Source organism: Homo sapiens, chromosome 13 (assembly GCF_000001405.40).
Source record: "Homo sapiens chromosome 13, GRCh38.p14 Primary Assembly".
NCBI classification, from domain to species: Eukaryota; Metazoa; Chordata; class Mammalia; order Primates; family Hominidae; genus Homo; species Homo sapiens.
The window spans coordinates 27,927,386-27,945,967 of NC_000013.11; the positions used below are offsets into that span (position 1 = coordinate 27,927,386).

Sequence of the window (18,582 nt, forward strand, 5' to 3'; positions counted from 1 at the left end):
TGGAGTTGCTGTGAGGTTTAAACCAAGAAATACCTGTAAAATGCTAATTCGGCATCTAGGAATCCCTCCACAAACAGTAGCTATTGTTTTAGGCTGTCATCGTCGTCGTCGTCAGAGGCAATCGGGAGCTGCTGTTGTGGAGTTTCTAAAGTCCCCCACCAGTCCCCCGGCAGCCCCTCCCCTCTGGCAAACCCCCACACTGTCGCTGTTGATATGAGTTTTATTCCTCTACCCACTCATCTTTCCCGAACACTGCCTAGTTTCAGGATGCCCTTCCTCATAAATAAACTCCCTAGGTTTTCCACAGCAAACTTCACCAGGCAAAGAACTGCAGCTCCGCCGACCAGTTAGTTGGTGGAGGCGCAGAAACTTGTCCTCGGACCCCACGCAGAAGCCGCCGCCCTCTCCAAGGCTCCGGCCCCGACTTCGCTCTGCGAATTGGGCCAGCCGCTGCTTTTCCGCGAGACCCGAGGGTTCGCCAAGGAGAGGAGAAGAGGCACAGGCTGCCTGAGACTGGTCTTCGGGCAGCCGAGGGCGCGGGATGACTCGGGCAGGCGTGTGGCCTCCGACTGACCAGGGTTGGGCCCGGGATCAGAGCTTTGCTTGGAAGTTCTCTGGGTGGCAGAGACTCGGGCAACCGGAGCCTGAGCCTCCCGCGGGGAAGAGCTCGGACTCCGGAGGTCGCGCCGCCTTGGGCTTGAATTCAGTCCTTCCTTACTACTCGTGGCTTTGCTTACATCATTTAACTCTCCATTTCCTTGTCTATACAGTGGGCTCATAAGGAGGCGGTAAGGAGATGATGATGTCTTTGAAGAGTTTAGGACAGGACCTGGTGTCTCCCGTACGCTTGGTGGGGGTGGCGGAGGTGATGCGTTGTTAACAGGAGAAACCGACCTTCCAGGGAGGCCCAGGGAGGCAGCGGAGAGCGAAGTCCTGCTCGGCGGAGAGACCTCGAGGAGAGTATGGGGAAAGGAATGAATGCTGCGGAGCGCCCCTCTGGGCTCCACCCAAGCCTCGGAGGCGGGACGGTGGGCTCCGTCCCGACCCCTTAGGCAGCTGGACCGATACCTCCTGGATCAGACCCCACAGGAAGACTCGCGTGGGGCCCGATATGTGTACTTCAAACTCTGAGCGGCCACCCTCAGCCAACTGGCCAGTGGATGCGAATCGTGGGCCCTGAGGGGCGAGGGCGCTCGGAACTGCATGCCTGTGCACGGTGCCGGGCTCTCCAGAGTGAGGGGGCCGTAAGGAGATCTCCAAGGAAGCCGAAAAAAGCAGCCAGTTGGGCTTCGGGAAAGACTTTTCTGCAAAGGAAGTGATCTGGTCCCAGAACTCCAGGGTTGACCCCAGTACCTGACTTCTCCGGGAGCTGTCAGCTCTCCTCTGTTCTTCGGGCTTGGCGCGCTCCTTTCATAATGGACAGACACCAGTGGCCTTCAAAAGGTCTGGGGTGGGGGAACGGAGGAAGTGGCCTTGGGTGCAGAGGAAGAGCAGAGCTCCTGCCAAAGCTGAACGCAGTTAGCCCTACCCAAGTGCGCGCTGGCTCGGCATATGCGCTCCAGAGCCGGCAGGACAGCCCGGCCCTGCTCACCCCGAGGAGAAATCCAACAGCGCAGCCTCCTGCACCTCCTTGCCCCAGAGACCGTCCGAGCTGGAGCCACAAGCCCTCCATTCCTCTTGGAATCTTCAACCCCAAGGTAAGGTAAGTTCACCGAGCACCGCCCAGCGATGCGCAGGATCCGGGGGGGATCACGCGCGGCGACCCTACCGAGCGCTCCGTGCGCGCCCCCATCTCTCGGATCGTGTTCCTGGCTCTGTCGAAGCTGCTGAGTCCCGCGATTCGGGAAATCCGGCACTTGTTTCTCACCCTACACCATCACGTGGAAATCATTGAAAATGGGAACCCTGGTGGAGTATCTGGGAGAGCACGCTTGTGCCGAGGGGCCTGAGCTATGGGACTTCCTCCAGGTCCCTCTGTTTCCTGCCGGCGTAGGGGACTCGTAGTGTCGGATCGCATAGTGCCAAAAAATAGTGCATGGGAAACAAACAAAAACACCTCTCATTTTCTTCCGCAATATAGTTTTTCCTGTAGGTGGGCTAACATAGTACCTGAAGAAGTTCTCACCTTGAAGAGCTAAATCCATACCATACAATATCTGAGAGTTGGTGATGATTTCGGGTCATGCATATTGTTTTTAACAGGGATGATGTCCATAAATAACTTGCTCTTCGCTCCAGTACTGGGGCGTGAACGCATTCAGCAACATATGTTGGATTCCTGCTTTGCTGCGGCACGCAGGAAGCCTCACAGTGCTTGCCCTGGAAGCACTCACAGTTTTTACAAGACAAATCACATCTTCCCACTTGATGGTCAATACCGTCATGGAGATTGAATTGATTATCAGTGACTGAATTTACCAGAGTAAACAGAAGTCACTATGATTCCCCAAAATGAATGCTCCTTTTGAACAAGGGCATTTCATTTCTTAATTTTGGCCTCCTTAGTCTAGCACTGCCACCCTCTCCATATCCTCTCCTTCAACCAGTTCAGTTCAATGCATTTAAGTTTGACTGAAATTTAAGTATTGTACTTTCCTTTTCAAATTGGTGAATCTACCTGTTCTATTTTCATCTCCCCACCACCCATTCTCTGTCTCATTCTCTCTCTCTCTCTCTCTCTTTCTCTCTCTCTCTGTCTGCTCTCTCTCTCTCTCTCTGTAGGTGTGGTTTGTGTCTGAGGGTGAGTCTCCCCATCTTTGTGTTTCTGAGGATGCCTGTGTAACCTATGTGCCTATGTGTGTTTGTGTGCATGGGTTTAGGGTGGTCTTATTGGGTTGCCATAGTGATAATGATCAGCTGTGTCTAGGGACCAAGGAAACCTTCCTATATACTTTTTGTTTTATGTGTGTATTTATTTACTTGTTTATTTTTGCGACGGAGTCTTACTCTGCCGCTCAGGCTGGAGTGCAGTGGCACGATCTCGGGTTACTACAACCTCCACCTCCCAGGTTCAAGTGATTCTCCTGCCTCAGCTCCCCGGGTAGCTGGGATTACAGGCACCAGCCTCCATGCCTGGTGAATTTTTGTATTTTAGTACAGATGGGGTTTTGACACATTGGCCAGGCTGGTCTTGAACTCCTGACCTCAAGTGATCCACCCACTTTGGCCTCCCAAAGTGCTTGGATTACAGCACAGCCATCTCACAGGTGTCTGATGGCATTGCTGATGATGAAAACTGTCCGCTCAGGTTACTGTCTCAATTCTTTGAATTGGCACAACGTTAGAAGGCAAGAAGTGCTGTCTTTAGAATAACACAAAGTTGAAACTTTGGTAGAAGCTGACAGATTGCTAAAGTACTACCATAAGGAACTTTAAAATCTTCTCTGTCTAAAAAAGAAGTTCACAACTAAGGTATTTCATGACTTCAACAAATTTACCTATAAAGCCTCCTGAAAATTAAGTAGTTACAAATGTCAGAAGAAGGAAATTCTGAGTTGATATTGAATCAAGCTTTACTCCAACCCAGCTCTAACAGGCTAGATGTGGGAACAATAAACCTAATGGGAAACTGAGGCAGGGCAGCAGGAAGCAGAAGGCCTCCTTGCAAAAGAAATGGGAATGATGCATCCTCTTATCTGGCAGCCAGCCATCAAGAAATTGCTTCCCATGGTCAGCTTGAGCAGTGGGAAGAGACTGGCAGGAAACACTGGGTAGGAAGGGGAGGTCAAGGTCTGCAGATAATAGCAGCTAAAAATAGGTGATTTCAGAGTGAAAGTGGCTGGCTGAAAGGGATGAGGCTCATAGGTTACCTAGTGATAACCTGTCAATGCCAGATTCCCATATTAAAGTATGGTATATTTACACATCTGTAAGATGGAATGCACATGATAAAATTATATTCCTTCCAGGTGCGGTGGCTCATGCCTGTAATCCCAGCACTTTGGGAGGCCAAGGCGGGCAGATCACCTGAGGTCGGGAGTTCGAGACCAACCTGACCAACACGGAGAAACTCTGTGTCTACTAAAAATACAAAATTAGCCAGGTGTGGTGGTGCATGCATGTAATCCCAGCTACTCATGAGGCTGAGGCAGAAGAATCGCTTGAACCTGGGAGGCACAGGTTTCAGTGAGCCGAGATTGTGCCATTGCACTCCAGCCTGGGCTACAAGAGTGAAACTCTGCCTCAAAAAAAAAAAAAAAAATCATAGTCCTGATGTTTCATTAAAATTATTTCCTCTGTAAATGAGATCCCATGGCTTTTGAAAGCATAAATAGCTCTAACTTTAAGCAGTATTCTATCATTCAACTTCAAGTTGAACACCTTGGAGTCCTTCCCTGAACATAGAGCATATAGAAACCTTAAATATATGCCATATCATCAGCACGCATTCAAGATTCTTGTCTACATTGTGGAATACTCTGAAATCTCACTTCTAATGATAATTACACATCTAAAAAGCGTAAAGAACCTGATCTGATCATCACACATAATATGGAGTAAAACATCACTATGTACCCCATGTATATGTACAAGTAATACTTGTCAATTTAAAAAAATTTATGTGTAACAATATTTTTGCTGCTAATTATTTACATCATTGAATAAATTCTATCTCTCCTCTTTCAGAATTCTCAATGAGCCTGATTTCCAAAAGGTATGACATTTTGAAAGTAATTTCTCTTATTTACATATGCTCTTAGAAAATTCAGAAGTCCCACACTTCTAAATCTGTCTGGAAATACTGCTGATTTGAAATCGACATATTACATGGAATTATTTCCACTTCATAGTTCTAGAAACAAACAAAAAAAAATGTACAAAATAAGGCCGGGCACTGTGGCTCATGCCTATAATCTCAGCACTTTGGGAGGCCGAGGTGGGTGGATCACAAGGTCAGGAGTTTGAGACCAGCCTGGCCAATATGGTGAAACCCGGAAACCCCGTCTCTACTAAAAATACAAAAATTAGCCAGGCCTAGTGGCAGGTGCCTATAGTCCCAGCTACTTGGGAGGCTGAGGCAGGAGAATCACTTGAACCTGGGAGGCAGAGGTTGCAGTGAGCCAAGATCACATCACTGCACTCCAGCCTGGGCCACAGATTGAGATTCTGTCTCAAAAAACAAAAACAAAAGTACAAAATAGAGTTGGGCAAGGTGGCTCATGCCTGTAATCCTAGCACTTTGAAAGGCTGAGGAGAGAGGATTGCTTGAGCCTAGGAGTTTAGGACTATGATTGTAGTGAGCTATGATTGTGCCAATACACTCCAGCTTGGGTGACAGAGCAATACCTTGTCTCTAAATAAAGCATTTTTAAATGTTCAAAATAATCTCTAAGAAATAAACAATTGGCCAGCAGGGTGGCTAATGCCTGTAATCCCAGCACTTTGGGAGGCCGAGGTGGGCGGATCACTTGAGGTCAGGAGTTTGGGACCAGCCTGAGCAACATGGTGAAACCCTGTCTCCACTAAAAACACAAAAATTAGTCAGGCGTGGTGGCGAGCACCTGTAGTCCCTGCTAGCAGGGAGGCTGAGGCAGGAGAATTGCTTGAACCCGGAGAGGTTGCAGTGAGCCGAGATCGCACCACTGCACTCCAGCCTGGGCAACAAGAGCCACACTCCATCTCAAAAAATAATAAATACATACATAAATAAATAAATATAAAATATTATATAATTGGATTTATTGCAATCAATGAACATGTGGTTTATTTTTATTTAATATTGAAAGACTACGTTTCTAGGCCAGAAGGACAGGAGAGTGGATAATTTCTCCTGTGGATGATTGGGCCTTTCCACAGAAACACAAACAGAGATTGTATAAAGCACAAGGCATTATTCATGCTACCCTTTGTCCTCCAGTCCAGTGGAGGAGAAAAGGAACAATCCCTGGCCAAATGTGCAAATTGAAAGTGCTGTTTTTCACTACCTTGGGCAGGGTTTAGCTTCCGGTTTTGTGTTCCCTATTTACTGCCCTTCTGAACTAGGGCAAATAACTTGATCCATTTGAGCTTGTCTACTCCCCTGTGAATTAGGGATAATCCCATCTCATGTGACTATTGTGAGAGTTAAGTAAGATAAGGTATGTGAAGAGCACATACTTGGGTGAGTGGAAACCTTTATTTTTATTTATTAGGTACAAGGTCTCACTCTGTTGCCCAGGCTTGAGTGCAGTGGTGTGGTCCTATCATCTCACTGTAGCCTCAAACCCTGGGCTCAAAGCAATCTTCCCACCTCAGCCCCACAAGTAGCTGAGACTACAGGCCAGTACCACCAAGCCCAGCTTTTTACATTTTTTTTTTAGACATAGGGATCTTGCTAAGTTACCCAGGCTAGTCTCAAACTCCTGGGCTTGAGCAATCCCCTTGCCTTAGCCTCCTGTGGCTGGGATTGCAGGTGACAGCCACCTCACCTGGCTGAGTGCCACCTCACCTGGCTGAGTGGAGCCCTTTAGAAGGATGTGGTTTTTCCAGAAGCTGAGGTCTTTCTTGCCCTACTAAATCACAGACAGCTCTTTGCTCAATGGACCTCAGGGAAGGCAACAACTGCCACACCAATTGAATGTATGCCCTTTTCCCTGGAGCCCTGGAGTCCTCCCTCAGATGGGGACAGCTAGGTCTTGTCCTGGCTCTTCACAAGAGAATTTCTGGACTGCAAAGTCACATTGAAGTTGACCAGGTAGGAGCAAAAATAAGCTACCACTGTATAAAGCAGAGAGGCAAAAGCCAGCTGTACTGACTGAAGTCACACGTCAAACAGCATTGATACCCACATGCAACTAGCTTTACTTGTAAGGCACAAGCATTTCAGCCAATTTAAGGATAGTCTGATGACCAAAGATAGAAAGTCTCTTGACAAACTAGAATTTTTTTAAGGATCTCTAGGCCTCCGCTCAAAGAATAGGAGATTGTTCTAAGACCTTCTTAATAAGTCATTTCCCTAGATGTTACTATATTGATTAGTATTAATACATATTTATATATAGATGTATTATGTATAATATATATTTATATAATACATATTATTATAAATAATATATATTGATGCATATTGACATGATTAATACATATTTATATATAAATGTATTATGTATAATATATATTTATATAATACATATTATTATACGTAATATATATTGATACTAATCAATATAGTAACATCTAGGGAAATGACTTATTAAGAAGGTCTTGGAACTGTCTCCTATTCTTTGAGGAGGGGCTAGAGATCCCTAAAAATTCCTACTATGTATTATACATAATACATATAATATGTAATATTCTATTGTGTATTATATATATTATATATAATATATTATATATTATGTATTGTATATAATATATTATGTATTATATATTATATGTATTATGTATTATATATGTATTATATATAATGTATTATGTGTTATATATTATGTATTATATATATTATATGTGTAATATATATTTATGTATATATATTTATATATAAATGCATTATGTATAATATATATTTATATAATACATATTATACAAAATATATAGATACATATTGATATGATTAATACATATTTATATATAAATGTATTATGTATAATATATTTATATAATACATATTATTATACATAATATATATTGATACTAATCAATATAGTAACATCTAAGGAAATGACTTACTAAGAAGGTCTTGGAACAATCTCCTATTCTTTGAGGGGGGGTCTAGATAATATGTTATATATTTTGTATTATATATAATACATAATATGTTATATATTATGTATTATATATAATACATAATATGTTATATATTATGTATAATATATTATATATTATGTATTATATATAATACATAATATATTATGTATTATGTATAATATATTATATGTGTAATATATTTATGTATATATAATACATATATTATATATTATATATTATATGTATAATATATTATAAGTATAATATATATTATATGTATAATTTATGTATAATATATATTATACATAAATATGTATAATATATATTATACATAAATATGTATAATATATATGTAATTATATATATTATATGTATATTATATTATATATATGTATATTATATGTAATTATATATATTATATATGCATATAATATATGTGTAATTATATAATATTATGTAAATATATATTACACATAAATATATATTATACATAAATATATATTATACATATAATATATATTATACATAATTATGTATAATATATATTATATGTATAATATATATTATATATTTTCAAAAAGTAGGTTGCAACTGATTAGTCAATAAAGTCAAGTTAGCCAGGCTCGGTGGTTCACACCTGTAATCCCAGCACTTTGGGAGGCCGAGGCACTTAAGGTCAGGAGTTCGAGACCAGCCTGGCCAACATGGTGAAACCCCGTCTCCACAAAAAATACGAAAAAAATTACCCGGGCGTAGTGGCGCGCCCCTGTAATCCCAGATACTCAGGAGGCAGAGACAGGAGAATCGCTTGAAACCAGGAGGTGAAGGTTGCAGTGAGCCAAGATCACTCCAGCCTGGGCAACTCCATCTCAAAAAAAAAAAAAAAAGTCCATTTAGTGGGTTGTTACCAGATTTTTATTTTATATATATATATATTTATTGTATATAAAAAATATATATGTGGAACCCAAGAGGTTTTGACATTTGATTCTGCCATCCCTAAGTGTTGTGGACCTCCCTAGTCCCTTAGAGCACTCCAGCCAATACACTTACTTTCTCAGCAGCAGGGGAAAAGAGACAAATCAGAAGGATATGCATCTATGGTAGACAGAATAATGGTCCCTGAAAAGTTGAAAGGTGTCTACATTGCAATTCCTGAAACCTGTGTCTATGTTCCCTTACAGGGCAAAAGGGATTTTTAGAGATATAATTAGATTAGGTACTTAAAATAAACAGATTATTCTAGATTATCCTTGTGGGCCCAATCTAATCATACAAGTCCTTGAAAGCAAATAACTTTCTCTAGCTAGAATTCAAGAGCTACAGCAGAAAGAAAAGTTGAAGAGATTCCAAATATGAGGAGGCTTTACTGAGCCATTGCTGCCTCTGAGATGAGGGAGTCCATTGACAAGGACCCAAGAGAGGCTGGTAAGGGCTAACGACCACCCCCAGGCGACAGACAGCAAGGAAACTGGGGGCAGCCACAAGGACGTGGCCTCTCCAACACTGGACCAGAGAAACTGCTGAGCCAAGGGGGACTTTGACAGACAGAAACAGTGAAATAATAAATTTAATAACCCTAGAAGAAAACCTAGGCAATACCATTCAAGACATAGGCATGACAAGGACTTCATGACTAAAACACCAAAAGCAATGGCAACAAAACCCAAAATAGACAAATGGGATCTAATTAAACTAAAGAGCTTCTGCACAGCAAAAGAAACTACCATCAGAGTGAAAAGGCAACCTACAGAATGGGAGAAAATTTTTGCAATCTACTTATCTGACAAAGGGCTAATATCCAGAATCTACAAAGGACTTAAACAAATTTACAAGAAAAAAACTAACAACCCCATCAAAAAGTGGGCAAAGGATATGAACAGACAATTCTCAAAAGAAGACATTTATGCAGCCAACACACACTTGAAAAAATGCTCATCATAACTGGTCATCAGAGAAATGCAAACCAAAACCACAATGAGATACCATCTCACGCCAGTTAGAATGGCGATCATTAAAAAGTCAGGAAACAACAGATGCTGGAGAGGATGTGGATAAATAGGAACGTTTTTACACTGTTGGTGGGACTGTAAATTAGTTCACCCATTGCGGAAGACAGTGTGGCCATTCCTCAAGGATCTAGAACTAGAAATACCATTTGACTCAACTGGGGTATTACTGGGTATATACCCAGAGGATTATAAATAATGCTACTATAAAGACACATGTACACGTATGTTTATTGCAGCACTATTCACAATAGCAAAGACTTGGAACCAACCCAAATGTCCATCAATGATAGACTGGATTAAGAAAATGTGGCACATATACACAATGGAATACTATGCAGCCATAAAAAAGGATGAGTTCATGTCCTTTGCCGGGACATGGATGAAACTGGAAACCATCATTCTCAGCAAACTATCACAAGGACAGAAAACCAAACACTATATGTTCTCACTCATAGGTGGGAATTGAAGAATGAGAACACTTGGACACAGTGTGGGGAACATCACATACTGGGGCCTGTAGGGGGGTGGGGGGGCTGGGGGAGGGACAGCATTAGGAGAAGTATCTAATGTAAATGACAAGTTGACGGGTGCAGCAAACCAACATGGCACATGTATACCTATGTAACAAACCTGCATATTGTGCACATGTACCCTAGAACTTAAAGTATAATAATAAAATAAAAACGAAAAAAATAAATTTCATGTTGTGTTTAGCTGCTGCATTTGTGGTGATTCGTAATTGCAGCAATTGAAAATGAATATAGTTTCCTTTACTTGAATGACACTTTTGGAGTTACACGATGCCTGCTTACACCTCATTCACAGAACTTAGCTGCATGAAAGCATCTAGCTACACAGCAGGTGGGAAAATGTAGCCTTTATTCTGGACAACCAGTTGTCTAATGAAAAATGGGAGGAAGTACATCACTAAAAAGGGAAGTGTCCAGTGGATACTGGGGACAACTAGCAGCCTCCATGACAGTTACCAAGGATCTATATAAAAAATTGTCCTAATAGGCAGGGCGTGGCGGCTCACGCCTGTAATCCCAGCACTTTGGGAGGCCAAAGCAGGCAGATCACTTGAGGTCAGAAATTCGAGGCCAGCCTGGCCAACATGGTGAACCCCCATCTCTACTAAAAATACAAAATTAGCCGGGCGTGGTGGCACATGCCTGTAATCCCAACTACTTGGGAGGCTGAGGCGGGAGAATCACTTGAACCCAGAAGGCAGAGGTTACGATGAGCCGAGATCACGCCATTACACTCCAGCCTGGGTGACAGAGCAGGACTCCATCTTAAAAGAAAAAAAAAATTGTTATAATAATCTGGTGTTTTCTGAAAAGCCACAGATGAAAACAATACTCATTATTATACAACAGCCATATATGAAGCCCATGTCCTGGAATTTAATTCTAGAAGGAAGTTTGTTCAGACAAACTTGTGTGCTTTCATCAAACGATGTACATGATACAACATCCAGTGTTAGCCTTTTCTATCAGACAACTCTGAACTAAAGTTAGTATTCAATTAACACTCAACTATGTGTCTCATCCTAGCATAGGCTATTGAGGAAGGCCGAGATTTTCAATCAGAAACATTGGCTTCCAGTTCTGCATTGACCATTTATGCCCCTTCTGAACTAGGGCAAATGACTTAGTGTCTTTGACAGTCTATTTTTCTTATTAGTCAATTGGGAGAAATATCAACCTCATAGGACTGTTATGAGGGTTAAATAAGGTATGTGAAAGATACTTTTTGAGATGAAAAAGAGCCCTATACATGTATTTATAGAATTAAAACATATAACATTTATACATTTATATGAAATGTATAAAACATTGGATCTTCCCTTCCTCTAAGTCAGTGTTTTTCGAACAGTAGGTTGCAACTGATTAGTCAATGAAGTCAACTTAGTGGGTTATTACCAGATTTTTTTAAGTTAGATAAAATATAATAGAAAATATCAGAGTGCATTATGCACAGCGAGGATAAAGATTGCTTCATGTAACTTTTTTTAGTTATACATGCATATGCCTAACAGATCAAAATACAAAATATATTTTGACTTTGTAACTTTGTTAGAAAGTTTTGAAAACACTGCTTTAAAAACACTGCTTGGAATGGTGTGATCTTCATTTTATCTGTGTTAAACATTTGGTTTTTTGTTTTGTTTTTAGCGCTCTATTCATCATGTGCTTTTATTAGAAACCAACTCACATCTATTTTGGAGAGAGAAAGTTGAGCTAGGAGAGAGAGAGACTGAGGGCCAGGGTAAAACTCATGTTAAATGCTTTTCAAACAAGATATAATTGTTAAACTTTTATTTATTTATTTATTTATTTTTTTTTTTGAGACAGAATCTCACTGTCGCCTAGGCCGGAGTGCAGTGGTGCAATCTCAGCTCACTGCAGCCTCTGCCTCCCGGGTTCAAGCGATTCTCCTGCCTCAGCCTCCCGAATAGTTGGGACTACAGGCACACGCCACTGCGCCAGGCTAATTTTCTGTATTTTCAGTAGAGATGGGGTTTCACCGTGTTAGCCAGGATGGTCTCAATCTTCTGACCTCGTGATCTGCCCGCCTCGGCCTCCCAAAGTGCTGGATTACAGGCATGAGCCACCGCGCCCAACCTAATTGTTAAACTCTTAATCTCAGCCTCAGAGTCAGTCTTCCACTCTTTGTGATGCTGGAAGTGGGCTGAGGCGCTGAAAATGACATTCTCCTTTGGCAACGGGCTATTGGTCAGGCTCTGCTACTCAGCACGGGCCAGGAGGGAGGCTTCAAGGTGCAAGGCCAGTGGAAGAACTTGCTTCTTCCTTTCTGCTTCCAGTTCGCTTCAGTTGCGAGCCAGGCCGTGTTTCTCCCGGTAGTGGCAATTTATTCCATTAGCAGCAGTTTATTCTGGTTTGCAGTTTCTTCCGAATCGGCACCACCTCAAAGATATCAACACCAGTTGGCCAGCAACCCCTTCTCAGCGGTGTGAGTCCCAGCTCTGTGGAGCCCCTCCTTCAAGCTTCTACATTTTCATATTTACAACCTCTTTATTTTGTTGCCTCAGCCCTGGGGGCTGGTAGCTGCATTTTGCAATCACTCCCTGATGCCTTAGTACAAGCTTGTCCAATCCCTGGCCGTGGCCACATGTGGCCCAGGACAGCTTTGGATGTGGCCCAATACAAATTCGTAACTTTCTTATAACATTATGAGATTTTTTTGCAATTTTCTTTTTTAATTCATCAGCTTCATTAGTGTTAGTGTGTTTTATGTGTGGCCCAGGACAATTATTCTTCTTCCAATGGGGCCCAGGGAAGTCAAAAGATTGGACACCCCTGCCTTAGTGCCTCTGACTGGAAGGGCCTACCAGCTTATACTTCCTATGTTTGCCTGCCTGCCTTTTTTTTCTTCTGTCTTGCCTTCTCTTAAAATGTACTGAGTGGAGAGCCGCAGTGGCTCAGGCCTGTTGTCCTGGTGCATAAGGAGGCGAGGCTAGGCGTTCCAGGCCAGCCTGGGCAACATAGAAACCTCTCATCTATGTAACAAAAAAATAATAATAATAAAATGTACTGAGTAACTGTACTAGGATCTGGACTGGGCTCTGGGTCCTCTGTAAAGTCTGTGAGCACACAACCATGGAACCAATGAGTTTCATGTTCTCTGTGAAACTTCCCAAACATCCCAAGTACCCCTCTGTGGTGTCTACCTTCTAAGATGGCCCCCAATAAATTGTGCCTTTTGGTTTCCACACCTTTATGTCCTCCCCTCCCACAATGAATCTGGGCTGAGCCTGTGACTCACTTTAACCAGTAAACTGCAGCAAAACTGATGCTGTGCCCCTTCCGGGCCTAACATCTTTTTTTTCTTTTTTTGACACAAGGTCTCATTCTGTTGCCCAGGCTAGAGTGCAGCGGTGCAATCACAGTTCGCTGAAGCCTTGACCTCCCTGGCTCAAGTGATCCTCCTATGTCAGCCTCCCAAGTAGCTGGGAACACAGGCACACACCAACATGCCCAGCTAATTTTTTTTTTTCTTTTTTTGTTGAGACAGGTTCTCACTATGTTGCCTAGACTGGTCTCAAACTCCTGAGCTCAAGCAATCCACCTGCCTTGGCCTTTCAAAGTGCTGGCATTACAGGCATGAGTCACTATGCCCAGCCTGAGCCTAAAATCAAAGAAGGCCTCATATCTTCCACATTTGTGCTTTGGGAATCCTGGACCACCACGTTAAAATAATAAAAAAACCCAGCTGCCTCGCTGGAGAGACTATATCACGATGTCCTCACAGGAAGATACTGCATGGAGAAAAGAAACCCTGAGAACACCTGAGAAGAGAGGCCCAGGCATCCCAGCATCTCATCCCAGCATCTCATCCCAGCTCTAGCCATCATCTGACTGCAATTATATGAAGCCAGCAAAGGAACTGCCCAGCTGAACCCAGTTAATCTACAAAATGTGAGAGATAATTAACCCCTAAGTTTTGGAGGTGGTTTGCTATGCAGTAACAGATAATTGAAATGCCCCTTCCCTGTTCTATGTTCTTACTCTTTAATCCCATAACACCTTGTCCCTTTGTACCTCTATCATATTCTTACTCAAGTTGCATTGTCTGTCTCCCCTAAGAGATGGCAAGTTTCTAAAGGGTGGTGATTGCATCTTTATTTATTTTATCAGAAAAAGTTCAGTAAAGAAAACAGAAACCACTCAAGGCATTTCAAGCAAAAGGAGATTAGGTATTCACAAGATTATTGAAAGGCACAGCACGAGGCTTTTGGCTTCAAGGTCATATCACCATGGTTGTAATGCATAGGTCTAAAAACTGCTGCTACTACCACAGCTCTGCCCTATATCCAAGAAAATGATGTCCGGACAGTGGAATGTGGATTTGGCCATGCAAATACATCTGCCAGAACCAGCCAGCCACTATGACAAGAACAATGACTTCTGTCTTCTTTCTGTCCTCCAGATATTTCATGAATTCATCTAATTGACAGAACCTTCATTGCACCTAGAAGTCTTGTGCTAAAAGGTCTGGAAAAGCCAGGCTTGGCAGCATACACCAGTAGTTCCAGCTACTCAGGAGGTTGAGGCAGGAGGATAACTGGAATCCAGGAGTTTGAGGCCATAGTGAGCTATGATCACACCACTACACTTCAGCCTGGGCAACATAGGAAGAACTTGTCTCAAAAAAAGAAAAGAAAGAAAGAAACCTTCCAGAAACTATAGCTTTCAGCATTCCAGTTAATTCTATACAGGGGAGAATATAGATGGAGTGAGAAATGGATGATAAGGGCCGATTAACAGCATGTAGTGCATTTCTGAATCCCTAGCCCTAACACAAGCTCTGATAAGTAGGAAGTCTGATAGGCCTGTTGAATGAATTGATGAATGTACAAATTAATTTGTTATCCATCAGGTAGTGTAGCATGCAATTATAGTCCCCTCCTATCCTAGATGCTAGGAAGACAAAGGTGAATAAATGGTATTTCCAAAAAGCAAAATCCAGGGGTAGAGCTGAGTTGTGAGAGCAGTGGGATACAAGTATGAATTTTGTAAGATTCTCAGTGTTATCTGTGGAGCCCTTGTCTTTCACTCTCTCATGAAAGTAAATAGGCAAATACAGAATCCATCTCAGATGTTAACCTTTTCAACATGTTTTGCAAATGTAAGTTGTTTCTCCAGGAAATAATAAGGCTGCTTTTCCAAGGTCAGCCCTGTAGCTGAGTCAAGAAAGCATTCCTAAAGCATATGTAAAGAAAAGAACTCAGACACAGTCTACACGCTTGAGAATAGACACAACTAAGGCCATCTTGACAGGTAAATTCTATGGCTTCCCCTTGCTATTCACACATACTATTTATTTTCCCAGCTATTACTTAAAGCACCACATAGCTCTCAATCCTCAGTGATGAGAAAAAGTGGAATAGAGACCAGAAATAGGAACTCGAGAGTCCAGTGTTCTTTACTTAGGCCAGCAATTAACTTGTAAAGGCTGTCACAATCTCATTTTCAGCTGTATTAGTTTTGCCATTTACAAAATACAGGCATTATGTAAATAACCAAACAATGCTGATAAAGTGCTGAGTCCTCATCACTACAGTTATCCCTGTCTGCTCTGTACTAAATCTATGACAGGATTTGTGTAATTATAGGGTGTGTTCCCCTTGCTAAGCATATCTCCCACACAATCCATTTAGCCACTCATAAACCAAACACTAGGATTTTTTTAAAAAAGAAATTAGTTGATCTTGCTAGGGTTAGTGGAATGTTTTTTATTTGTTTCCATTCCTATTGTTGAGATTTGGTGCTTTTTCAAACAGTTGCTTATAGTTTAAAAAAAAAAAAAGACTAGACAAAGCTACAACCAAGCATTAATAGTAGTAGTGAACTCTGGGGAGTCCGACTGGCTGTTCCTTTTATTTTACTTTATGTGCTGCATTGTTTGTATTTTTCACAATGGGAATGTATTGATTTTAAAATTAAAAATAAACTTTGTGGCCTGGCGTGGTGGCTCACGCCTGTAATCCCAGCACTTTGGGAGGCCGAGGCGGGTGGATCACGAGGTCAGGAGATCGAGACCATCCAGGCAAACACGGTGAAACCCCGTCTCTACTAAAAAATACAAAAAATTAGCCGTGCACGGTGGTGGGCACCTATAGTCCCAGCTACTCGGGAGGCTGAGACAGGAGAATGGCGTGAACCTGGGAGGCGGAGCTTGCAGTGAGCAAAGATCGCGCTACTGCACTCCAGCCTGGGCGACAGAGTGAGACTCCGTCTCAAAAATAAATAAATAAATAAAAAGCAAACTTTGTAAATATTACCAATGATTAACTTTGAGTAGAGGGATTACAGATGATTTTTTTTATTATTTGAATATTTATATTGAGAAAAATAACCATTATTTAAAAGAACATCGACTACATTGTTGACACTTTTTCTGCAGAAAGTGCAACAAGTGTATCAAGTGACACGTAGGTCTGGCTCTTAGAAGTCTGTGAACCCTTCTTCACCTCATTAATCATTGGCTGACCTATAGAGACTCAGCAACCAGAAATAAAGGCATGAGGTCAAACTGCACAGGGCTTGGGAAGGCTGTCTGACTTCAGATCCTTCAGGCCCTCAGACCTCACCGTTCAAGGTCAGACTGACTGGGAAAGGAGTGGGAGTTTTCCTGGGGCGTGGAGTGTGGACACCATCAGAACCAGGCTGAGGAATACCAGGTACTGCAGAGCAAGTGACCGTTGTTAAGGGATTCTTTATATGGTGTGACTGCTTATTGTGGTTTTCTGTTTGCTTTCACTCCATTAACTTGTGTGAGCTGCTTATTATTTACCAAGCACTGTGCTCATGCTTGGTGGGGGATAGAAAGAGGCAAAATATAGGATCCCAGCCCCCAAGAAGTCTCTCATCAAAAGTAAAAATTAGACAGGTAGAAAAGATAAATTATAACACAGCAAGACAAGTGATATAACACAGGTTTATTCCTCTCAAGGAACGCAGAGGAAAGAAAAATCAAGCCTGAAGGATTCAGTGAGTCTTAGCAGAGTTTCTCGTACAGTAGGCAGCCTGGAGGAAGGTGGCTGGGAGAGGGAGTTCCAGGCCCAGAGAACACCTGGGGCAGAGATGCAGAAGCAAGAAAGAGCACAGAGAAGGCACCCACACCTAATCCCTGTGTTCCTTTTGAATTGCTGCTGTCAAATTACCACAAATGCCGTGGCTTAAAATGACACAGGGAGATTTGACCCCAGAATGTGGCTATGTGATGACGATGGGAGCAAGAGACTGCGGTGATGGATGGGAGGGAAGGCCATGAGCCAGGGTGTGCAGGCAGCCTTTAGAAGTTGGAAAGGGTGGCCGGGCGTGGTGGCTCACCCCTATAATCCCAGCACTTTGGGAGGCCGAGGTGGGTGGATCACCTGAGGTCAGAAGTTCAAGACTAGCCAGGCCAACATGGTGAAACCCTGTCTCTTCTAAAAATACAAAAAAAATTATCTGGGTGTGGTGGCACATGTCTGTAATCCCAGCTACTTGGGAGACTGAGGCAAGAGAATTGCTTGAACCCGGGAGGTGGAGGGTGCAGTGAGCCAAGATCACATCACTGCACTTCAGCCTGGGCAACAAGAGTAAAACTCCGTCTAAAAAAAAAGAAAAAAAAGGACATTGCCAGAGTCTTGGCGATTTGGCCCGACGCGCTCCGCTTTCGCTACAGCATGGTGGCCTACTGGAGACAGGCTGGACTCAGCTACATCCGATACTCCCAGATCTGTGCAAAAGTAGTGAGAGATGCACTGAAGACAGAATTCAAAGCAAATGCCAAAAAGACTTCTGGCAACAGCGTAAAAATTGTGAAAGTAAAGAAGGAATAATCTACCCTGACTAAAGCTTGAAATGCTGCATTTCCAAGGTGAAGATGTATGGGCACATGTTATGGCAGATTGAAAAGGATCTCATTTCATGGGAAAAAAAAATCCTGTCTTGTTCATAAATTGACAATGTCAATAAATTGAAATATGGTTCACTGTTAAAAAAAAAAAAAAAAAAGGTTGGAAAGTGCAAGGCAAGGAAATGGATTCTCTCCCAGAAACCTCCAGAAGGAACCAGCCCTGCCAACACCTTGATTTTAGACTCCTGGCCTCCAGAACTGTAAGAGAATAAACCTTGTCATTTTAAGCCATGAAGGTATTAAAATAGTTGTGATTTGAGGTGGTTTGTTAAATAATAATGGATAGTAGGAACAGAGTTTGGTGCCTGGAAATAAGGTACTGCTTAAACACCTTAAACACCTAAAACATGACTACCATATTTAATTAGCCAATACTAAAACATGTAGTTTGAGGACTGAGTGGCAGGAAGAAGCCAGATAGGCATTGGGGTAAGCTGATGGTGAGTATTTGAATAAAGTGAGAAAAAATAGTATT

General features: G+C 42.3%; 1 pseudogene; it reads left to right on the forward strand.

Annotated features, from left to right (window-relative positions):
• Window positions 17,821-18,188, forward strand: ATP5F1EP2 (ATP synthase F1 subunit epsilon pseudogene 2; annotated as a pseudogene).